Source organism: Homo sapiens, chromosome 6, assembly GCF_000001405.40.
Source record: "Homo sapiens chromosome 6, GRCh38.p14 Primary Assembly".
Taxonomy (NCBI): domain Eukaryota; kingdom Metazoa; phylum Chordata; class Mammalia; order Primates; family Hominidae; genus Homo; species Homo sapiens.
Window position 1 is genome coordinate 163,241,381 of NC_000006.12, and position 25,113 is coordinate 163,266,493.

A 25,113-nucleotide genomic window follows, 5' to 3' on the forward strand; every position below is an offset into this window, starting at 1 on the left:
TAAGTCTTGAACTTTATGTTCATTTCGCTTTTAACAGGTGTGTGTATGTAATACGCAGCCCTTCCGTGATCATCTGACCTGGCCCTCTTGGGAGATGTGGCCCAGGCTCCAGGAGCCCTCATACCCTGCACTGTTTTTACACGATACATGCCTGGGGACCAGGGTTTTGGAAAAAGGACCTGGAGGGCTGAGCTGGCAGCTGAAAAGGCAGGGTACCAGGAGCCACCCCTCAATGGGCTAGGGCTAGGGACAGAGCTGGGAGCCACTCTACAGTTTGGTCTGGGTAGATGTGGGGGGTGATCTGAGTTGAGGTACATGTTTATAGCTTTTGAATGGAGAAGGTAGGAGGTTGATTTCTGGCAACCAGTTGAGAACCATGAAGCGGGTGTGTAGAAGGCAAAAGGGGAAAACCAGGTGAATGAGAGGCCATGGTAAACCCAAAGGGGGGGCACGGGCTGGGGATGGAACAGATGAATCCATTCTAATGCCAAGTCCAGCCCCCGTCTGGCATTCCTGACATTCATACCCATTTGTGAGTAAATCTGGCAGAAAAGAAAGTGAAGGGGGAGACGTGAGGGTGGGCTCAGACTCAAAAACAGTCATGTCACTGCCTAATTGCTTTTATCCAAGTTAAAACAATTTTTTTAAACCAATGATGTTAGCTGAGGCAAAGCTCTTTAAAAGAAAAAAAGATTTTTTTAAACTTATTGAGCTATAATTTGTTACTGTTTTCATCCATGCAACAAAAAACTTGGGATCAAACATTAGAAAATTAAATTAGGTTCATGCACAACCAAAGATCTTTTCTCTTGCCCTATGGACCTACTGAGTCGAAATTCCATTTTCCGTCTCCTCACAGCATTTCAGAGAAATGATTATCATCTGATGAATTGCACTAAAAGCAAATCACTAACAGATAGATCAGCACCATTCTTCTATTAATTAATGCCACTGTGTGTTGTGTATGTAACAAATGCAAATTATCGCATAGGGCAACATTGATTTTCTTTTCCATGCATTCCTCAGTACAATTCAAATGTGTTTTGGAAACTGCCCTGGACTGGGAGATTGCAATCATTGTAGCATTTTCCTCTTGATTTATAAGGCTCAATTATCTTTCTTTGGTTGTATGAAATGTCTTTTCTAATAAAAGAGCCAAAAAGTGAGAGACAGCATTTCTAGCACCAGGCACAGAAGGGTGATGGGATAATATCAAATTTCCTATGGTTTAGCAAACATTGACAAATAGGGGAAATTAGGATTGCTCATCCAATATGTTTTGGCCTCAAAGGATTCAGCTAATAAAGTAACTAGAAAAATTAAATATGTGTAAGCCACAGCACCTTTAGAATACTTCACAGATTACCGAGTTGTGTCATTTATGGCAATGAATGTTTCCAGGCTGCAAGCAAAAAATTTATTTTTCACTTTACTTGAAAAGAAGATGATGCCTCCAAATATCACAGGGAATTGTTTCTTTTGTGTCCAAATGAGTTGAGATCTAAACCAACATTTAAATGGGCTTCAATCATGAATTGCAAAATGCAGTTGAAATGAATATTGTTTTGCTGATAGTTTAGTCTGAAAGCAATTGTCTTTTTCCCTACAGATACAGTGCCTCCTTCATTAAGTGACTTTTAGTTATTTTTTCATAACAGGCCATTATTTGTTTGAACAAATAAATTAACCTGGGGAGACCAACCATGACCCGCATTGGACTTTTCTGCCTGTAAGCAAGGCGTGGTCCAGGAGTCATAGGTTACGTGATGTATCACTGGCTGGTGCCACTGATTCCACTCTGAGTACTGAAGCTGTGGGCCTGCTATTAAACAAATGTCCCGAACACCCAAGTCTCCCTGGGCCCCCAGCTGGCTGTTGCTGACAGTGCCACACAGTCACTGTGAGGACAGAAGTTCCACGGGGAAAGGGGAGGGGCATGTGCCTGGCACCAAGTTATGCCTTCAGTAGAAATGTGTCCAGCGTGTGAATGTTCACGTACACTCTGTGTTTGTGTTGCCCAGTGGTACCCAAGCGTATGCCTGCACCCCCAACAAGCTTCTTGGGGTTTTCATTAAGGACATTTCCAAGCTCCCAAGTCACTTCCTGTGTGTGTCAGAAGTGGCTCTTTTCATTTCCAAGACTGTGTAGCTGGTTGGCATCTACTTGTACCTACACGCCCACACACACAGCAGGAGCCGCGGGATGGTGGACCACCCCTCAGCTCCTCCTCTCTGGGTCCTCAGTCACCACCTAACCCACCCCAGTGGTCTCCTCCAGGTTCTGGTCCTGTCTGTCCATCCGCTGAAAAACTGAAGATGCTTAGAGTCTAAAAAACTTGAGTGAAACCCTGAAACACTAACCTGATGGAAATTTATTATCTAATTTAGAAGAGAAGCAAGTGTCTTAATTGTCTCCTTGTTTTAACCAACAGAAGAGATTTCACCTGGGTCTCCAAGGCCCAGCTGCTGAGACTTAGTAACTGAGGCTAAGAAGCTATCTCACCCTGGTTAAATAAACAGGGTCCGTGATTGATGGTGTCTGTACAAAAACGAAATGTAGTCAAACAGAGTAAGCAGAGACTGAGCAAGCATTTACTAACATGTGGGCATCTGACAAAGCATTCTTACATTTGTAGTCTTTAATTTGACACAGAGATTTTGTCTGTAATGTCTTTGGCCACTTTTGTGTGTTCATTCAGTGATTCACAAAGACGAATAATTTCAGTGCCATGTGTGATTGTATTTCAAACAAAACTGAGTGTCCTAATCTGGAATATAGTCTCCATTTCATTTTGTAGGACAAGATAGAGCAGTTTGTTTCATACCATTCATTTAAATCATTTTTTTTCCTAAAAGAAAAGCTTTCTTAAGTCTCTTTCTTAATTCCTTCATTTGCATTCAGTTTGGGTGGAGCTGATTGATGACGTGTTTCCGTGTGAGCTTCATCGAGGATCTGTGCTTGAATCATCTAGTATTTTCTGTAAGGTCGGGCCAAGGAGACCTAACGTGTGCTAAACTTTACAAGCACATTTTAGACACTGAAAATACACTGCCGTGCCTTGCAATTGCACAAATCATTTAAGAGCCCCTCTGTCATGGGAATAAGCTGCCTCCCTTTGTCATGCACTGTGTTCTGTATTTTCGAAAGGAAGGCCCAGCACTGACCATATTTCCTCCTACAAGGCCCCAGCCCATCAGCACAAGAGCTCGTGAGGCTGAACTCAAGCCCCGGAGATCAAAAGTCCCATACTGTGGAAGCTTTAAGTATCTCATTCAGGATTCCATGAAACATTGCTTCATTTCTCAATACGTCTGTCCTCCGAAGGCACCAACTCATTCAGTTGCTAAACTAATTCTTCATTTTCATGTAATCTTTTGGGAGAATAAAAGTGAGCAGTACTAAAATGAAAGTGTTTTTTAAACAATAATGGTGCCAGAACATGAGATTTTTAACCTTGGCAAACAAAGTATTTTAGCCACTAAAAAATTGCAGAGCTGTAAGAAATTGCTGAAAACTTCAATAGAGAAAAATTAATTCCCCGTTATGCTTCTCTTTTTAGTAACCCATCGACAAAGAAGTGAATTGTCCTCCATGTTAGCGAAGTGGGGAGGTCCAGACTTGCTCCTTGTCTTTCTACCATTTTCTACCATCATTGTATGTAAAAGTCTAATCTTCATTTTAAGTCAGTTTATGCTTCCCAGACTAAACTCTGCAACAAATAATATGAATGTCACACATTTCATCATTTGTAATTAATTCCAAACTAAATAAAACAAGGAGTTGTGAAAGTTGTTTTTCCCCTAGGATGTTCTACGTACATTTAGTAATAGTTTATTATGGCTTTATCTTTTAAAGTCTACTTTCGCGGCACTTTTTAACTTAATTCTGTTAAACTACTCTTGGAAACTATCGATTCTATAAACTATGCCATTTTCAGAGACATAAAATTTTGTGCCTGAATTATAATTATAGCCTAAAGCCAAATATAATTTAGCACATTATCAGACTGGGGGTATTTTTAATACTAATCAGGGAGGACCCTCACTAAATATGGCTTTGTTCATTCAAAAATCGCACAGAGCCGGCGTCTCCGTGACAGGTTTGGAGAGCCGCACGTTAATATGGTTAGTTCTAAGTCAGCCATTAAGGAAACAGAATGGATCACGGGGTTCATAGAGATGGAGCCTCAGTCCTCTTCTCCTATTTATCTGCATTCATTCCCTTGGCCATCTCAAATTCAGCCTCACAGTTTTCAACACCGTCTCTGCACTGATGGTTCCCTCATTTGACACCCCTCTCCCCACCACACACTCTGAGCTTCTAACTCCTGTGTCCGACTTCCTAATCAGCCGCTGTGCTTGGATGTCCAGTAGGCCTTTTAAACTGAAGGCGCTCAAGACAACTCTTGACTCGGTCTCCGGGCATTTTCTGCCCCTACTCAGGTCTTTGGCCACCTAACTACATGGGACCACTATCTATGATTTACCAAGAACCGTAAAGTTATCTTGAAGTCCTCATTCCTTCACCTTTACCTCCTACCTCCAAATTCTGCAGCAGCAAAGCACTGCTCTACTCCATGGTCTTCATGAATCTGCTCACCCCTCAGCGCCTCCACCTCTGCCTCTTGCCTGGATTGCTGCAACGGCTTCTAAAAAGTCCCTCTGCTTCCGGGACAGCCCATCGTCCACTCAGTAGCCAGAATGGTCTTTCTCAAAGTTCAATGAGATTTTGTCACTCCCTTGCTTAACATCCTCCAATGATATTCCATGACGCTTAGAATCAATGTCAGTGCCCTTACCTTTGCATATAAGAGGTAACATCACCTCACCCTATGTATCTCCCTGACCCCATCTCATCTCTTTCTTGTTTGATATTCTCCAGTTGCATCAGAAGTCTTGCTGCTCTTCCAGCACACCAAGATTGATGCTGCCTCAGGGCCTTTGCACCAGCTCCTTCTTCTGCCTGGACACTCTCGCCCTGGTTCTGCGCATGGCTCCTTTCTCCTTTTTGTTTGGATTGCTGCTCAAATTGTGCCTCCACATGGAGGCTTTCTAAGTGATCCAGACCTACAGGCTCAGGCACACTCTATCCCCTCACTCTGTTTTCTTCTTCATAATATTTACAACCATCTGAAATATGTAATGTTTACATAGCCGTTTGCTTAATACCTGTAAGATTCCACCAACTAGAGAGGCAGCATGTGAGAACAGGGGCTCTGTCTCACTCCGTGTCAGCTGCCTCTTGCCCAGAGGGTGCTCAGTAAGCATTTCTGATGATTATGTGACGTTAGAAGCCATCACTTACATACAAATTTTCTCATTCCTTGTTCAACATTTACACATATTTATTTTTTCACAAAGGATTTGAAACAGCTTTAGGCAAAAACAAATACAATGAAAGTCAAAAATAGAAAACCTAGCACCAAGGAAAAAAATACAGGAGAAAAGAAAAACCCAAAGCAAGGTGGCCAGTTACAACATTATCATGAGAAAGTAGGAAAGCACAGAGTATACTGTGCTTTAACAGAATAAGACTTTTCCTAAGATAAAATTCTAAGTGAAGGTCACACAGTACAGGGCAATGTCCTCAGCAGTATTTGTAAAGCAAATGCAGTGGGCCTTTTCAAATGGCTGTTTCTTTGATCATGGCCAAGGGCCCAAAAGAAAATGCAGTATAATGAAGGGGGATCATTAAGGGGCTGAGTTCATACGCTCCAAGAATAGAGTGCTCTGGTATCCTTACTTGAACCAAGAAATGACTTCCATTCTAGAAGGTTTACCTAATAACATAACCAGCATTTTTTATTGCTAAGAATTAAAGGGAGTTTCATAATTCAATGAAAATAAAGCATTAAAGAAATGCTAGTGTAAATATGTGTCCACTCATATTGCTCTAGCTAGAAACCCTCAATCTGCCACAGGCCTGCCACAGCCCTGGAGGAGCGCTCCTTATGCTCCTTCTGTGAATGTTCTCCCATATGTTTCCTACTCCCTTAGAAAAATAGGTATTATTATTATTAAAAGCATTAAGAGATATTAAGAATTGCAATGTGCTTTATATTATGTAGTTTATCTTCTAAAAAATTAAAATGCAAAATTGTCATCATGATGGATCTTCTGTCACATATAGATTGTGAAGTTCAGGAGTTGGTATTGAGCAGAACCTGCTTCTAACAATATTGAGCATTCCTTTGACCACAGTTTGATGAGGTCCCAGGAGCACGCTCTATTTTTAAAAGCATTACTTAAAAAGCACTCCTGGAAAGTCTTCAGTGAGCCTCAGGTCAAAGCTGCAGTCATTTCTATTAGGACCCCCCTCCATAACAAACAATCTTTAACAGACACCAAGAAGCCTGCTGTTAACACAACCTCCTACTTCACCGTCTACCTGCCACTGTCCCATCTCATCAGTAAACAAGCAGCTATTTGTCTCTTTCCGTTAAAAGCACCTACCCCCAACTTCAATCAGATTAAGAAAAATTCTTTTCTACTTTTTCCCTGTGAAGTTGGTTTTTATTCTATGTATTAAAACCAGGGTCCTTTGAAAGATACACTTCTGTAACATTGGCACGGTAGAGACACAACTGCATGTTGACGAAGTATATAACCTCTCCTTCCAGCAACACCACAGACTTCCAGGTAAAGCCAAAGACTCGTTTTCCTATGCTGCAAAGCCATCTCCAAGAAAATGCTACCTCCATGCCCCACTGAATGGCAACAAGGGTCATCAATATTTTGCAAAGGGCAAATAGAGAATGGCAAGAAAGAGACACACAGTGCCAGGCGGAGAGGTTGTTGAATGTTGCATGGGTGGGGTGAGGAGCCTGTCACAATCATGTGCCCCGCAAGAAAGATTCCCTTCTTTGTTTCATTCAGCTGTCGCTGAGAATCAAAGAATGCATTAGTAATTGCTATTGTTTGTAGCATTTCTTGTGGTTCATAGCCAGATGACCATCCTTTACTGAAAAGCTTATTGTGTGGGGATTGCTCAGCACCCTTTCAAGATATCTAGTGTTGGTTTGCGGGGCAAGAGGGGAGTGCATATTTTATGCAAAAAAAAAAAAAAAAGATTTTGTGCTACCACATTCCTCAATTATTCTAATATTTTCCCCAATAGAAATATTTCCTCATAATGCAAACACACTATTCCGAGAAGCAGAATACTTTTCTGGATCTAAGTTGTCTGATGGTTTCTCTGGGTGATGTGCTGCATGGCAATTGCTTTCCCATGAAGCCACAGAATTCCCAATTTCCAACAGGAGCCCAAATCTAATCCAAAACTCTATTTCACATCTGACAACTATTAGGTTTTCTGATAGCCTTGAGTAAGCAATGACATGTGCTTCTTTCTAGAAAAAGGGCATGACCCTCTGTCCACTTAAGACGAAGCTGAGGGAGGCCAAGGCGGCCAGATCACGAGGTCAGGAGATCGGGACCATCCTGGCTAACATGGTGAAACCCCGTTTCTACTAAAAAAAATACAAACAATTAGCTGGGCATGGTGGCAGGCGTCTGTTGGGACACTACTCGGGAGGCTGAGGCAGGAGAATGGCGTGAACCCGGGAGGCAGAACTTGGAGTGAGCCGAGATCACGCCACTGCACTCCAGCCTGGGCAAGAGAGCGAGACTCTGTCTCAAAAAAAAAAAAAAAAAAAAAAAGACAAAGCTGAGAATCTGGTTTGTTCTTAATGAAACCAATAGAAAGTCGGTCACTTAAGTTTTCAATTTATAGTGCTTTCTTAGCCATAACAGAATGAGAAACATGTTTTGATCATGTCTAGTGGCCTGTACGCTGAAACAAGGATGCACGCAAAGTCTCTGGGTCAATATTATGTTGCCTGTAGAGTGGAGGTTGCCCTCAAACTCAAATTTCTCACTGCATTCCAACATTATGGAAATGGCATGGCTAATCATTTCAAAAGATCTGAAAATACTAATACATTTTCAAACATAGAAATTGTCCATTTAAAAAAAAACATGCCCATTATCCAGCCTTTCAATATGATTAAATTCATTTGTTACATTTATTTGATTTGTTTGGGGCCAAAATAGCCGGCTGGCAAGTGCATATCACCAGTACAAACCTTAAGTTATGAATATGACTGAAAGGTCCCAAGTTAATTCTAGTTAAGGGCATGAGCCTTTCAGAAGGGGGATCCTGATGGGCCGGAAGTGGAGCCAACTCTCTCGCCTCCTGTGCCTGCTTACATTCCTGGTTTGGAGCAAGTTATTAGATTCCATGGGACCTAGTGGTCTCCGGGTGCTGTGGAGATTGTGTCGGATGCCAGGCCACGAAGACTTAGCAACCAGCGAAGTTTCTGTGGTTTCCTGGCAGCAGAAGTTGACTGTGAAGTGTGAGTTTGCTTGGATGACAGGGCACCCGGCTCCGTGGTGACCGGCTTCTGGGTTGGCTTCTCAGTGCAAACTGAAGTTTGAGTCAGAAAAGGCTGTTGTTTAAATTGGAGTGTCTTTTATGCCAAACCAACATGGATGCTCCTTTGTTCTCAAAAGGGAAGTGACGCCAGCTGGCCAGTCTGAGGCTAAGTATTTGCACAAAGGCTGACCAGATGACACACACTCCTTGCCCATTGTGGTTCCCACCGCAGGGAATGTCCATGGCAAACTCTCTGGAATGATCCTCTAGGACTGCCACTCTTGTGAATAGTTGGTGGCATTCTTCCAAGTGGTCATAAGGTGATAGACACATTTTTCTGATCATCACATTGTCCATTGCAGGAAACAACAGTTGCACCATTTTTGTAAATGGTAGCTAATGAAGCAACACAAAGTTCTGATAAAATAAGAACAGAGGTAACAAAGCAACAGACTGCCCTCTTAATGGCGCCACCAAAATGTGCTGTAAGATTGAATTTGCACCATAACCATTGAAAAATAGGAAGTACAAAACCAGAGATATTTTTCCTTCCCGCTGATTGCCTGGTCATGAGACAGACTGGAACAGTGCTTGGCTATAAATTTGTTAGCAGCTGAAATGCTCGGGGGCCCCATGCACCGGAGTTCTGCTCCTCCACACTGCTTCTGCAGAATTAGGAGAAAGCATTGCATTTTACTATCTTTTAAAATTATGAATATTGGAAACTTTGCTGAATTCTTTTATCAGTTCTAGGAGCTTTCTGGAGGAGTCTGTAGGTTTTTCAAGGTAAACGATCATATCGTCAGCAAACAGTGACAGTTTGACTTCCTCTTTACCAATTTGGATGCCCTTTATTTCTTTAAGAACTAGAAGTAGAACTACCATTTGATCCAGCAATCCCACTACTGGGTATCTACCCAGAGGGAAAAAAGTCACTATTAGAAAAAGATACTTGCACAAGCATGTTTATAGCAGCACAATTCACAATTTATGTTTATGTTTATAGCACAATTTATATTTATTTTATAGCACAATTTATATTTATGTTTATAGCAGCACAATTCACAATTGCAAAATTGTGGAACCAACCCAAATGCCCATCAATCAATGAGTGGATAAAGAAATTGTTGTATATATATATATATATATATATACACTATGGAATATTACTCAGCCATAAAAAGGAATGAATTAACACCATTTGCAGTGACCTGGATGAGACTGGAGACTAATATTCTAAGTAAAGTAACTCAGGAATGGAAAACCAAGCATCATATGTTCTCACTGATACATGGGAGCTAAGCTATGAGAATGCAAAGGCATAAGAATGATACAGTGGACTCTGGGAGCTTAGGGGGAAGAGTGGGAGGGGTCAGGGATAAGAGAATACATGTTGGGTGCAGTGTATACTGCTCGGGTGATGTGTGCATCAGATTCTCACAAATCACCACTAAAGAACGTACTCATGTAACCAAATACCACCTGTACCCCATAACTTATTGAAAAATAAAATATTAATAATAAAATTTAAATAAATAAATAAAATTGTGCATATTGGAAAAGAACTGGGATCATGCAGCCTTTATTGGGAACTTCTGAAACCTTATCTCTGCACTTTGGAGGTCGTTGCACATTCGATAGTGATGGAGAACACGTCGGGGACTTCCCGGAATGCAATGATTATGTATTTTAGTGGATCTTAAACTGGTTTCCCAATATTCAATCATAATCTTTGGCAGCCTGAGTGGCAGAAACATTTGCTTTCTATGGGGTCCTGATTTTTAGCTAATATTTTGGGAACACTCTTAGTGTGTATTAATCGTCCTCTTCTTTGGCCATAGCTCATGAGGTCAACAGTATAAGGGATGAGAGTGAAGATCCCTGTTACTCATCCATTCTGTATTGCGCTGCTCGGACCTCCACAGGAGAAGTTAGGGCACGAAATCCAAGTGGCAGCTCATTATTGGCATGCAATGTAAAATACAAATTCCAGGATGCTCAGACTTCCAGGACATCTGAGATATAGCCTTTGGAAAATAAGAAATGGGCTTGCGATCATAGTTAGTTATTACTACTGGGGGCCGTGGGGCCTGATTTGGGGTCTTTATCATCTACTAGCTGAGCGACCTTGGGTAAATTGCTTAACCTTTCCATGGTTCTTCAAATGGAATAATAATAATATCAACTCTGACTGTTACATGGTTCGATGTAATGGATGAAGGTTGAAGGAGACAAGGCACCTGTATACCTGGTCTAAGCCACAGCTAAGCACGGTGTCTCTGCACAGTAAATCCTCCCGAGCTGTCTGGTGATCAGTGTTGCCTTTTGTGTTGCTTATCCACACCGCAAAACGCTCCCACGTGCGTTTCCTGCCTGCCTCACAATTACCCCACAAGACGGGTGCACTGCATCTCACAGAGGAGGAAGCAGAGCCAAGAGACAGGCCTGGTGCACGTGAGGGCCGCAGCCCCTGCTGCTGTGAGCACGCCCTCTGCACCCACTGAATATTCCCCAAGCATCGCTGACGCTCGGCCAGGCGCCGGCCTTCGTTCCTAGGCTGTCATCTCTGGACAAGGCAGACGCAGGCCCTGCCTTCGTGGAGTTTAGATGAGCAGCAGGGGGGCGACATCATCGGGGAAACAAATCACTGCACGGGTGATTCTGGGATGGTAACTGCTAGGAAGAGAATCCAGTCCAGGCAGGGGCCGGAGAGGGCTGGGTCCCGTGGCTCTGACTGAGGAGGTGACGCTTGAGGTAGGCGCTGATGAGAGCCCCGCTGTGAAGGCCAGAGGGGCAGTGCTGCAGGCGGGGCTCACCGTGCAGAGTCCGTGACTGTCATCTTTCCACTCCTAAGTTTTGGCTTAGGGATTGTGAACTAGATGCTCCAGCTTTCAATTTGTCAACTGGTTTATCTCCTAACGGACACCTCACCAGTGTTTTCCTCACACATTCACAAAGACGCTTTTAACCTGTTGGCAAGAAGCAGATTTAATTGGAAAAGGGTCTGATTCCTAACAGAACAAAAGACAAAGTATATTACATGTAGTGACTACGTTATACTCTTGTGCAGTCGCTTACAACTTCAGGCTGGGTCACCAAGGAGATGGTGAGTGAGCTTTGAAACTAAAAGTAAGCAAATTCTGACTAAGAATCATGTCCAGTGACTGAGTATGTGTGTGTGTTTCTTCTCCATTGCTGCTTTGACCTATTCAGATGTCAAGAACTACAAAGAAATAAGATGCTAAAGAAATCAGAAAATCTGGCCAGGCATGGTGGCTCGTACCTGTAATCCCAGCACTTTGGGAGGCTGAGGCAGGCAGATCACTTGAGGCCAGGAGGTCGAGACCAGCCTGGCCAACGTGGCGAAACCCTGTCTCTACTAAGTAAAATACAAAAATTAGCCAGGCATGGTGGCGTGTTCCTATAATCCCAGCTACTCGGGAGGCTGAGGCAGGAGAATCATTTGAACCCAGGAGGCAGAGGTTGCAGTGAGGGGAGATCGCACCACTGCACTCCAGCGTGGGTGAGAGAGTGAGACTGTCTCAAAAAAAAAAAAAAAAAAGGAAAGAAAGAAAGAAATCAGAAAATGTAAAAAAATAGATGAGCTCTTGTGATATTTCTAAGAAATATAATTCTATTAATAAAATCGAATTGGTTGGAATCCAAAGGCATTTTAAAGTTTCAGAACAAATTAAACTTTTTAAAGTTTCAGGACACATGTCTAAATGTCTGTCTATCTAAAATTTATTTTAGGGGTAGGAGGGAAATTGGAGATTGTCTATCTAAACCTTCTTATTTTACAGGAGAGGAGACTGAGGCCCAAAGAATTTAGCCATGTTGTATAAGCTTACTCAGCCAGGTGGTGGTCAAATCTACCCTAGAAAGAATGTTCCCCATCACCTGGCCCAAAAACTGCACTGTCAGTTTTATAAATAGAATGCACGTTATCAGGACCAGAGTAATATTAGAAGAGATTAAGCCACACAAAACTATCTTCCCTCACCAGGTGCCTCCTTGAGCCTGAAATTCCACTCTTGGATAATCATTCTTGGGGCACACATTTCCGAGTTGGCCTGCTCCTCCAAAGGACGTGCTCCCGGCCCTGCAGTCACTGAGTGCCACTGGAGCAGGGCTCCCAGCTCTGAGAGGGAGGGGCTTAGTGTTCCTGGAGACCCCTGACGGGGAGCCAGGGTGGACGGCTGCAGTGGCACCCCAAGCTCACTGGAAGCCTTGGGGACAAGGGAGGATCCAGGAGAAAGGGACGGGTGTAGAGCACAGGGCAGAAGCGGAGGGCCAGCCACTTCTCCTGCTACCACCAGGGCCAGCCCTGCCTCTGCATCTTGGGCATCGGGACAGCAGCAATTTCAACATAGCCCTGAGCCAACTTAAAATGCAACAGCACTTTAAAAAAAATCTCATTCATCATGTAATATGTCTGATCTTAAAACTGACATCTGATTTTTTAAGGCAGCTGCTCTGGAAGAAATTTTCTGTGGATCGCAAGAGTCTGAAGCCCCATGAATGACCAAAAATATGCGCCTGAAAGAGAAATGCGCTGATGAAGGGGGAGGAGGATGGGAGGGGAGACTCTGAAATTGTTTCTCACTTTAGGGAAGAGGCACAACAATAAAAAACATGAGGCCCCATTGAAGTAGGACTTTAAATTCCACCCGAAAACAATCCCAACAAACAGATCCATTGTTATATGTTTTGCTACAAGTAATAGACAAAGCAATTGTGAACCAGGACCTGAGCCCTCCCGTCAGCACATAGTCTGGGTTCTTCAGCTCGCGAGTGGGCTCAGATGGCCTCAGAAATGTAGTTTGCTCTCCCCTTTAAGGTCACTGTCCAGGACGAGGTGAGGTAAACAAGGGTTCCAAGTAAGCCATGTGTTACCCATAATTGATCAAGGGAAGATAACAGCCATGAGGCTGTCCTGGACCCCTGCCCGTGCAGCAGGGCAGAACCATTGCCACTCTGCCCAGAAGGTGCCCCCTCCTCACTCCCTTCTCTCGTCCACCCCATAGGCCAGCAGGATTTGAAGGAAGGAAAACAGTTACAGCTGCACCACTGGGCTTGGCCTGCACTGTGCTGATGTTTTTAAAGCGTGGGCTGTAACAGAAGAGATGATCTTCAGCCTCACTCTTTTCCTGGTGCCTCCTCAGTATCTTAACACCTTCTTTTTCTAATCAACTATTTAATTACACAAGCCACGGGCTTTCTACGTCAGGTTCTCCCTTACACGTGAAACCGAGGCTCACGCAGCACATGAGAAACAACGTGTTGCCCTGAGAGGTTAGCAAGTTAACCTGGACTTAGACCCATCATCAACCAAAGAACAAGAAAGACCCAATGTCCATGGCAACATCCAGCTAGAATAGCACCTCTCCCTAAAACTGGATTTTGCCCGGCTGCAGAGTTCTGTGCTGTCTACATAGAATTGTTGGTGTCACCTGGGAGGCTCAGGAAAGGAGAGCCCGAATAAAGAGGAAGAAGAAACTGCAATTTAGGTCCCCAAGCCCAGGACCAGCCTGAGAGACCAACCTGGCCAGGCTTGGTGTCAAAGGGTACTGCAAGGATTTCCAGGCAGGCAGGCAGGTGACCTGAATCCAGGTACCTTCAATGTCCAGGAGGTGACTGACGGGCAGCAGCCACTCAGGTGTTTGCATAGAGGCAACTGGACACCATCCTGCAGGCCAAGAGGAGGTCTGTGCATGGGGCAAGAATACAGGCTCTGTCTGAGGGTCAAGCAGGATGGCAGGTTGTCAGGCACAGTCAGCAGGTGGGCAGCCAGGGAGAAAGAGACCTGGGCCTTGGGGGCGACCCACCCAATCACCTGGGAACAACAACAGGTCCTGATTCTTTTTCTTCTTCTTGTTCTTTTTTTTTGAAACAGAGTTTGAGACAGAGCCTTGCTCTGTCACCCAGGCTGGAGTGCAATGGCATGATCTCAGCTCACTGTAACCTCTGCCTCCCGGGTTCAAGCAACTCTCGTGCCTTAGCCTCCCAAGTAGTGGGACTACAGGCCTGAGCCACCACACCCAGCTAATTTTTGTATTTTTAGTAGAGATGGGGTTTTACCATGTTGTCCAGGTTGGTCTCAAACTCCTGGCCTCAAGTGATCCACCTGCCTCGGCCTCCCAAAGTGCTGGGTTTACAGGTGTGAGCCACCATGTCCAGCCCCTGATTCTTACTGGAAGCAAGGGGGCACAAATGGTACAAAATTTTTAAACAGCAGAATGTATCACTATTAGCTTTATAACTTCCCCAACTGCTTTCACTCTTTGAAAGTTATTATCCTTCCAGAGGCTCATGTACTATTCTACGTTCTGCTAATTTTTCTATGAATTTTTAAACATATTTGACTTTAATTTTCTTTTAGTTCACAGGATAGGATGTGTATCTGAAATTAATTTTTCTCTAATGTGCTATATCTCAAAATCAGCTATTAATCCTCCCCCACTGCTTTGTACTGCCTGTTTTACTGTATATTCCATTCTGACTCAAAATTCAGTCTATTTGCATTAGTTTAACAAACACATGCTGAGTCCCACCACGTGCGGGGCACTATTCTGGGTGCTGAAGATGCAACAGTGAACAGCTTGGCTGTCACATCTGTACTTACAGAGGATTCTCGTTGGAGGAGACAAGATAAACAAGGAAATAAACTATCATCTATCACATGGTGATCAATTTCATGAAGAAAAATAAAACAAAGAAGGGGAATAGAAAATTCCAGCCAGGTGGTGAGGTGCAACCTAAAGCCAGGTGGTTAGGGAAGGCCTTACCAAGAAGGGGACATTGACAAAGACCCCCAGGGATGATGGATCCGTGAGGAAAACGTTCCAGCCCACAGAAAGCACATGCAAAGGCCCCAAGAAGGGACACGTCGGTGCCTTGAAGGAGGCCAGTGCCCGAGTGAAGGCAAGAGTGGTAGGAGGTGACAGGGAAGGTGGCCGGCAGTTCATGTAGAGACTTCACTGTGAGGACACTGACGGTGACCCTGAGTGAGACGGGAGGTCCATGTCCTGGGGATGCTGTAACTAATGACCGCAACTTGGTGGCTTAAAGAAACAGACACTTATCCTCTCACAGTTGCAGAGGCCAAAAGTCCGAAATCAAGGTGTTGGCCATGTCGTTTCCTTCGAGAGGCTCTGAGGGAGACTAAAGGCAGGGGGAACCCTGGATCCTGGCAGTTGCAAGCGACCTTTGGTGTTCCTTGGCTCGTAGACACATCACTCCAATCTCTGCCGCCATCTTCACGTGGTCTTTTCTTGTCTGTGTCTCGGCGTCTCTGCCTATCTGTCTCTTATAAGGACACAAGTCATTGGATTTAGAGCCCATTCTAACTAAATCTAGGATGTTCTTATACCGAGATCCTTAATAACATCTGCAAAAACCCTATTTCTAAATAAGGGCACACTCACAGGTATGCAGGTTAGCAGTGGGGCGCATCTTTTGGGGAGACACAACTCAACCCCGTACATGTTGAGTTGAGAAGGTCTTTGAACACAACAGGGCAATGATCTGTGTTAAAGGGGGCATTCTGGGGGCTGTATGGATAGGGGTAAGGGGGTTCAGGCAGCAGCAGAGAGCCCAGTTAGGAAAGACTATACCAGTTATCCAGGTGAGAGGCGCAGTTGGTTGAACAAGTCAGTGGTGGTATAAGAAATAGTTCCATGAGACTAATTACGTAAGACACAGAAGGAGCCGTTATTCAGAAGGTGGATTCTGATCCCTTAGTCAGTTCCACTCATTTAAATTGTTATTTTTTTACAACTATCAAACTACGTTCATTGCTGTTTCTCTATGTTTTCAAATATCTCATAGAGTTAATCCTCTTCTTCCTTTTCTTAGTTGGATTATATAAATCTATTAATTTGCTTGAGACAATATTTTCCTTCTCCTTCAGGAATACTGTATATATGTAAGTGTATGAACAGATAGATTGATTGATGTCAACTTATTCAAGTCTTTTATTATCTTTTAAATATTTTTTAACTTCTTTATAGCTAGGACACATGCCTCAATAGATTTATTGCCAAGGGTCTCTTGTGGAAAAGGGGTTGATATTGTGGACAGGATTTATATTTTTATTACAACAACTGGTGCCAACTAATAATTAACAAGGCTATTAATTTTGGTATGCTTATTTTAGATCTAGTACTTTATTGAATCATTTTATTAAATATTATTATTTCCGCTGATTCCTCTGCACATTCTGGTTTTCCATTATATTAAGCACAAATAATTATCTTTTCTCTCTTCCCATTATTATACCTCTTTATTTTTTTATGTCTCATTGCATTAACTAGAGTTTTCAGAACACTATTAAGGAATCATTCTTGTTTCCATTTTTAAACAGAATTTACTTCATCTATCCATTAAGCACAATATGGGCTCTTATTTTCCACAACTTTTTATCATGGTAGAAAAAGTAGAATCTATTCCTAATATTTTAATATTTTTGGAACCTTATTAAGTGTTATCAGTTGTCTTTTAGACATGTCATTTATTTTAATTTAACCCATTAACATTGTATACCTTTTTAGTGTATGCTGTCATGTTGGATTTCTTGCATTGTGGAATATACCTTCCAGCAGACTCCTTTAGATGGGCTTAAAGCAAGATTTCAGGGTGTTAATTTTTGCATTTCTTTGCTTATTTTTATGATTAGGGATCTGCTTGATTTGGGTGACATCCTCATTAAAATCAATATTCTCGCCGGGCGCAGTGGCTCACGCCTATAATCCCAGCACTTTGGGAGGCCGAGACGAGCAGATCACGAGGTCAGGAGATCGAAACCATCCTGGCTAACACGGTGAAACCCTGTCTCTACTAAAAATACAAAAAATTAGCCGGCAATGGTGGCAGGCGCTTGTAGTCCCAGCTACTCGGGAGGCTGAGGCAGGAGAATGGCGTGAACCTGGGAGGCGGAGCTTGCAGTGAGCCGAGATGGCGCCACTGCACTCCAGCCTGGGTGACAGCGAGAATCCATCTCAAAAAAAAAAAAAAAATCAATAGTCTCATATTATAATGTTCGTAAGAACTATGACACCTTGGGAGAGGGTCTTGGAGAACTGGCTACCAACAATTTTTATTAACACTTCTGGCAAAAGCACTAGCTTTCGGTATCAACATCATTATGATAAAAATGTGTTTATGAAATGCCTCTAATAATCACTAATGCTTTGGTGTGGTTCCAAATAGTTCTTGTCCCCGAGGAACTAACAACACAAAGTTGTAGATTGTGTCAGATTTTGCAGTTCATAAATCGTCTCCACATCAATGGTCATGGGGCAGCATTATTAGACCCATTTTTACAAATGAGGAATCTGATACCTGACAAGAATAGGAATTTACATAAGGTCATTAAGCAACCAAGACAGGCACAGACAGAACTTGAACTCAGGAGTCCTGATCCCAACCCCGTGCTCCTTTCAACGTGCCACACTGACTCAACACCCAGCAACTAACAACATTCAGCAAAAGCATGAGAAGACATGATGTTCTATGCTAAGACTGGCTAATAACTGCTATGGGGAGAGATTGGAAAGGGTTCTTCTGGAATCCCCATGCTCCCCAATGCCACTTCCTAACAATTATCCCCATTCACCGTGTAGAACCCCATTGCTCCTTTAACATTCAGGCCAGTTAGTGGTATCGTCCTGTGTCCCTCTCACTTGTGTCACCTGCTGACCTCTTCAGCCACTGAACCATACTGATTCTAGCATCTGGCCCAGAAGCCTCCATCTCTGTCATCCGAGGTGACCTGGTGTCCATACGGAAGACAGCTCCGAATTCTTCCTTGACCTCTTCGGCTCCACTGGTCATTTGGGCATCACTTCAGCCATCCAGACCCACAGCCTCAGCCTCACTTTGGACCTCAGGAGGACCTCACCCCAAAATATTAAGCTCTGACATCCTTCACTCTGACTATAAGGTCTTAGCCTTCATCTCTCTACAGTACGCCTTCCCAGCTGTTCCCTCACCCAGGTCTTTCCCATGTTGCCCCATCTGTGGCCCCTTTCCTTGCCTTCTCCAGGCTGGGTCTCAGGGTTGATCGCTAGGACTATAGGAGACCTCCCATCCGCCCCGCTCCACCCCCAGAGGCTGAGGGATGAGGGGCGGGCAGTGGAGCTGATGGAGGAAGGAGAACAGGATTCTCTGAGGAGCTGCTTCAGGCTAAGGTCCGGTCCTCTGATGATGTGCTGGTTTCAGAGTTGGAAGAGGGTGTGTGCCTGTGTGTTCCTGATGTCCTGATGAGGGTGCCCCAGGACACACGAGGGCCATCCCGCCCCTCCAAGCCCCAGCCCCTGGCTTATCCTTGGTGCCTCCAGATCTCACTCCAACTCTCATCCCCCTTCCCTTCCCGATGTTTTCCCTGCAGCATCGTCCAGTCCCCAAGCACTTCCATGGAGCTCTGCTCACTGCCGTCTGGGCCACCAGCCAGCACCTCAGCAGCCCCTTCAGCGATCGCTGGCATGGGCTCTGCCTTGGTCTCTCCTGGTCTGACGCCAACCCGGCCGCTTCATTTCCTGCGAGGGGAGCTCTCTTCAGCTCCCACGTTGGTCCAAATTGGTTTGGTCTCTTCTAGACCTCAGAGCCCATACACAAAGAACAAAGGCCAGTTAGTCTCCCACTCTGCAATTATTCAAAGTTCGGGCTTTAAAACGCAGAGATTTTTCTGCTTCATCTACCCACAGCTCAGCAACTGTATTTCTACACCTATTGTTATTCTATTTCTGTTCCTAATTGCTATTGTAGAAAACCGTGCCTAGCTGAAGCTTCGGGAGTTGCCAATCCGTGGGCTCCCTTCAAATGTAAATGTGTTATGCAAATGTCTTCTGAGGCTGGGAGTGGGATCCTGTGGTCTTCCCTGGGTAGAGACAGGGAAAGAATACTGCTGGGATGGCTGAGAAACAGAAGACAATCCGCTGCCCTCGTTATTTAAACGCTCACTGTTCTGAGATGGTTTCCTGTCTCCAACTTCCTCTCCTGCTCTAGCAGCTGAATTTAAAATACTTGCTACAGAACACTGCTTCTTCTGGGCAGGGAACGCTGCTGCTTAACCCTTCCATGCTCGTTCCCTGTGGGGACACAGCGTGTTGGCCAGCTGCACCTCTCCCAGGGTCTCAGGACCATGTCTGTAAGGTAGATGCTATTCGAATCTAGGAACCTTTTTTTTTTAATATGGAAAATCACCTATCTAAATAATGCATTGTCATCGTTAGCAAAACCTTAAAGCATCAGTACTGGTGGAGACCTTGCCATTCCAAGCAGAGTTCGAATCCTTCCAAAAACAGCCACGACATCAATGCAAAAAAAATGTTGTTTTCCAGGAGTGCTAGTCCCATCGGGAGAGCTCCTTCCCTCCTCCCTCTGTCTTCCCGGCTCCCCATGTTCCTGAGCCCGGAGCTGATCTCCGCCTCTTCTGCCCTCAGCTTAGCTGCCTGTCATCATGCCAGGCAGGCACTGGATTTTCTTTTCTTTCTATTTTTTTAATTTTACTTTAAGTTCTGGGATACATGTGCAGACAGTGCAGGTTTGTTACATAGGTAGACATGTGCCATGGTGGTTTGCTGCACCTATCAACCCGTCATCTAGGTTTTAAACCCCGCATGCATTAGGTATTTATCCTAATGCTCTCCCTCCCCTTGCCCCCCACCCCCTGAGGTGCTGGATTTTCACTGTCCTGAGATTTTCACTCTCCCTCATACCCTCTTTGCTGGCCTCCCATTATCACCAGCAGCAATTTGGTCCAAAGAAAGTTCTCAGCTTCTGAATGAATGAGCCCTCAAACCCATGAGCTCCTTGACTCAGTGCTTATGCTGTGCTGAGCCAGGCACTCGCAGGACACTCGGCCCTGCTGGTCAGCCCTGCTGGCCGGGGGCTCCACATCTGTGGATTTGGCAAAATGCAGATCTGAAATACTTGGGGGGAAAATATGCCTGTACTGAACATATACAGAAATTTTTTCTTGTCATTGTTCCCTAAACAATAAAGTATAACAACTATTTACATAGCCTTACATTGTGTTAGATATGATAAGTAATATAGAGATGATTTAAAGGATACCAAAGGTTGTGCAGGGGTTATACGCAAATACTGCACCATTTAGTATCAGGGACTTGAGCATCTGTGGATTTTAGGATCACCCGGGGTCCTGGAACCAATCCCCCAGGAATACGGTGGGACAACTATATTAATTAATTAACCTTTTTTGCATTTATCAGTAGTTTCTGTGTTCAATATTGTCTATTGCTGCTATTTCCAAGATGTGGGGAAAAGGTGACCACAAATATATAGAAATGTATTCTGTGCATTCTAAAATAAATTCTAAACTATATGAAAGTAGAGGGCAAAGCAGAAAATGCTGGAAAAACGGCCCTGGCCCAAGACTTTGAGCTGTTTGTCTTTCGTTTTTCACACTGTCGTGTTACTCAGTAGTCCTGGCAGCTCTACTGTACCATTCTGAATTTCAGAGAAAGAAAGGGGAGCTAACTCTGCCCTGGAATATTATTTATGTTCTAAAGTGCTAAAAGTACTTTCAAGCGCAATTAGCTTATTTAAGAGGCAGAGATTATGTTGTTCTCTGCCTACCTCATCGGGTCACTGGGAGGATCACAGGCGGGGGAATATATATCTGTGTTTTGAGCACAGTAGGAAGAAAATCTTTGTGTAAATTCAGGTTGGCTTTATAATGATCCGGCAAGATTGGAATATCTGATCAAAGCGAATCACTCTGATCTACTCAGTTACAACATGATCTCTTTTTTTTTTTCAGATCTAATAATATATCACAAATTGACATGTGCTTGTGAGAATGATTTGTGGTTGATCTCGATGCTCAGACATGGCCATCGGCATTCCAATTATTCCCTCCCCTTTACTTAATTTCACTACAGACTTGCCCCATAGCTCATGGTTCTATAACAGTCTCTGACTTCATCACATTTTTATCAGGAAACAAATGGATCACTGGCTTGCACAAAATACAAATTTAGGCCAGGTGCAGTGGCTCACACCTGTAATCCTAGCACTTTGGGAGGCTGAGGCGGGAGGATCACTTGAGCGCAGAAGTTCAAGACTAGCCTGGGCAACATAGTGAGACCCCCCCCCCCATGTCAACTAAAAATTTAAAAAATTAGCCCAGTGTGGTGGCGCATGCCCAGGTAGTCCCAGCTACTCAGGAGGCTGAGGCGGGAGATCTCCTGAGACCAGGAGGCTGAGGCTGCAGTGAGCTATGATCACACCACTGCACTACAGCCTGGGCAACCGAACAAGACTCTCCCTCAAAAATAATAGTAATATATAAATTTGTCTGCAATTGTGAAAAATAAATAAATTTACATACTAGATCCAAGGCCCTGAGTTTTAACTTGATAACTGGGGCCAGGTATCTTACAGACCCCAGGAGGCCTTTCAAACCCGTTACTTGCGTCGTCATGCCAAGGGGCTGAGAACCCTTCCCTTCCCATCCCGAGAGCCCAGAAAGAATTCTGCAACTGTCTGTGAGCCAACTAGACTTGAACAGGCTAACTGACCTGCTACTCAGGAAAGAAACATTAGCTTGCTCACAAGAGCTTCCCTCACAGACTTGGTACAGAAGTCTAAGGATCACGTGGCGGCCGCAGCCTCTGTGTTTCTGTCCCCTGAGTCAGCACGTACAGAACACGCTGTGCGCCAAGGACCAGACCCTGCTGTGGAGAAAGCTACAGTGAAAGGTCAAGTCTGTGCAGAAATATGTGACTATTGAACACCCTCCTCTTCTCAATCACAAAAGCTCTTTATAATTCCTCCTCTGCAGGCAAAAACTGTGGGAAACTCTCACATTAGGCAGAATTTTTTTCTGACAATATCTGGAACCAAAGACCCACAGTCAGGTTAAAAATCACATTTTCATTGAAACAGTTTATGAAAAGCCTATTACCTAGCAATTTTATATTTGAATGCAATTATGTTAATGTTATTAGTACATTATGAATGGTACTAATATGATTATTGTTTCATGTGGTATTACAGGAAATTAATTCAAATGGATTTACATATTTTTTAGATAAAGGGCACTGCTAACACGGATAAATAAGAAGCCTGACGTTACTTTAAAAACAAAAGATAGCACTGAGAAAGCCAGGTTGTGACTTCATTTGTAATACTAACACACCATTTTTGTGCTTTTTTGTTGATGTAAATATTTTGCAATTTCCAAAGTGTTTTTCTTGTTGAATGCAGCAATCTGAATTAATTTCCCCAGCCTCTGCCAGTGTGCCTTTAGCCCATTTTATACTTGAGGGAGTTGAGAGTCAAGAGAAGGAAACTTGCCCCAATTTATACCCAGAATCCAGACAGTGCAAGATGCAAACTCAAATAGCTGAGAACTCAACTCCTACTGTTAGATCATCGGGGAATGTAACTTCTCACGTCGAATCATTCAGAGTTGTAATTAAGTAAGGCCGGACCTCTGGAAGCTCTCCTTCCCTGGATTTTGGTGAAAGGAAATGCTTGTTTCTGCACTGGGCAAGGCTGATTTCCATCTCACAGTACACTTTCTGCATCTCCTGCTTATCCAGAGGAGACCCCACCAGCCTCCCGAGCTCCATCGTCCCTCAGAGTCACTCCGCATCCACTGCGCACTGCTCTACACACTGCTCTGGGCTAGTCACACTGTGCTGCTGGAGACAAAAGTGTGAGCACAAAACAAGCCAGCAGCAGGGGACACTGTGTGCACTCAGCCCATGCAAACAGTAGGTGCCAGCCGAAGTCGTTCAAGGGCGACAGAGCGGTCACAGGTGTGGTTGAGAAGAGCCGCCCAGAAACAAGATCTGGGCTGGGCCTAGACAGAGATTGGTGGGGCAGCTGAGGTGAGGGGAGCTGTGGGTGCAAGGGCAGAGGGCAATTTGCAGGGTATATACACGGTGAGGGCAGAGCTTCCGCTGGTTGGAAAATAGGGGGTGAAACTGAGTTGGGGACAAACTGCAGATTACCTCTAGGCTTAGGACGGAGGAGTTGCTGCCAACTTTTAAACACCTGAAATTGATAAGGGAGAAGCTGCCTCTGCCAAAACCAATCTGGCAACTGTGCACAGAAAAACAGGTTAAGAAACGAGTCTTTCGCAAGTATGTAGGCCTGGGGTGATAAAGGCCTGAACTACCTAGGAGGGATGGCCTCTGCCCCAAGCCAAGGAACGCTATCAAATCTGATAAACTAGTAAGCTGGGAATGATAATTCTATGGTGATAGATCCTAGCAATGGATGATATGCTTTTAAGCTGAAAGTGCTTTGAGGACTAGTACTCTATCTTATTTGTCTATTTTCAGCTTGTAGTAAAGAGCCGGCTTCCACTCCTGCTGGGTGAATGAACGCATGCATGAACGAATGAATGCAGGCATGTGCGAATGAGTGGGCTCTAAAGATAGTATGTTGTAGATAATTTCCTGACTAATGATAGGGATTCCGACCCTGATAGGCTTACAGGAAGCTGCCTCTCAGTCGGTCCTGGTGTGGGTGGCTCCATCACCTGTGTGCAGGCCCCTTCTGGTCCGCATCCTTTTCCCTGGATGAGGAGGGCCTGCAGGCTGACAGTGACAGGTGTTCCTCCAGTGCCCGTCAGGAATGCCCGGGCTCCCTTCTTCTCCAGGGAAGGGGGTGGGGGGCACTCTTCGGGCCCGTGGGTATTTGTTTTAATGGAAGAAATGTGGGTAAATACAGTCTTCAAGCACAGAATGAAGTGAGGATAATATTAATTACTACCTTCGGTGATTGTTGTGAGGATTAAATGAGTTAATATATATGCATAGAGTAGTCGCTGATGTATATATAATAAGCATATAGTGTTAGCTGATGTTATTATTATTTGTTATTACTAACCAAACCAATTGTCCCACCTATTAAATTCTTAATATTTCCATTCTAGAAATAAGCTAAATAAGAGCAATTCCTTAAATTCTTTCAGCAGTACCAACTTTCCTACTTTCCCTTAAAGCCACAGTTAATTTCTAAGTAGCTAGTTGACATGTTAATGATCGAGGTTAAATATTACATCAGGATTTTATTTTAGTGATTAAAGAAAATAAACACCTAAACTTTTATATTGAGCATTTACCATAATTCCGAGTCAAAAATTAATCTAATATTTTGACTACTGTACATTTCACTTCTGCAAATAAAAATTTGACCCATAAATTTAAATGGATGTTGGTGCATCTCCAACTATTTAGCATTAAATTCATTCTGTCAACACTTTCCAATTATCTTCTCATAAGACAAATAGTAACAGACCAATTCCTAAAAAGTCATTTGTGTTTAATTGAATTAGTAGTTGTGTTTGATTGAAATATGTTAAAGCCATTATAAAAATAAATTCTTTTCACTTATTGGTGAATTTTTCTACCTATGCTGTCAAAATGGCTAGAAATATCAATTACAAACTTTGTGAATGGGAAGTGGAAATGTCCATTCTTTATTCTTTCAGAACAGATAAAAATACTGTAAAATCAGAAACCGGATTTGGATTTTAAAGACTATAGGTAAGTAATACCGGTAAATAGGATATCTCGTAAAGAGAAAATGGACTGTGGCTTAGGAATTTAATGAAATAGAGGGGAGCGGTAATTTTGAGTCCATTTAGGATTTTACTGGCTTACTGTCCAGCAAGAGGACTTAGATTAAATTATTGGTTTTCTGTGAATCTGAATTTCCTGGTCTGTGTTGTCAGGACAGGGATGGAACTTTGGGGAA

General features: G+C 43.7%; 1 protein-coding gene across 5 annotated transcripts in view; it reads left to right on the forward strand.

Annotated features, from left to right (window-relative positions):
* The window catches only part of PACRG (parkin coregulated), a 588,369-nt gene that overhangs the window by 514,249 nt on the left and 49,007 nt on the right, over positions 1-25,113 (forward strand). The window contains exon 5 of one of the 5 annotated variants that reach the window (XM_011535461.4): positions 3,560-7,455. The exons of the other annotated variants lie outside the window; for them this stretch is intronic. Coding sequence (XP_011533763.1) covers positions 3,560-3,756 — 197 coding nt within the window. The 3' untranslated portion in view covers positions 3,757-7,455. Of the gene's footprint in view, positions 1-3,559; positions 7,456-25,113 lie in introns of those variants that run through there. 5 annotated transcript variants of the gene reach the window in all.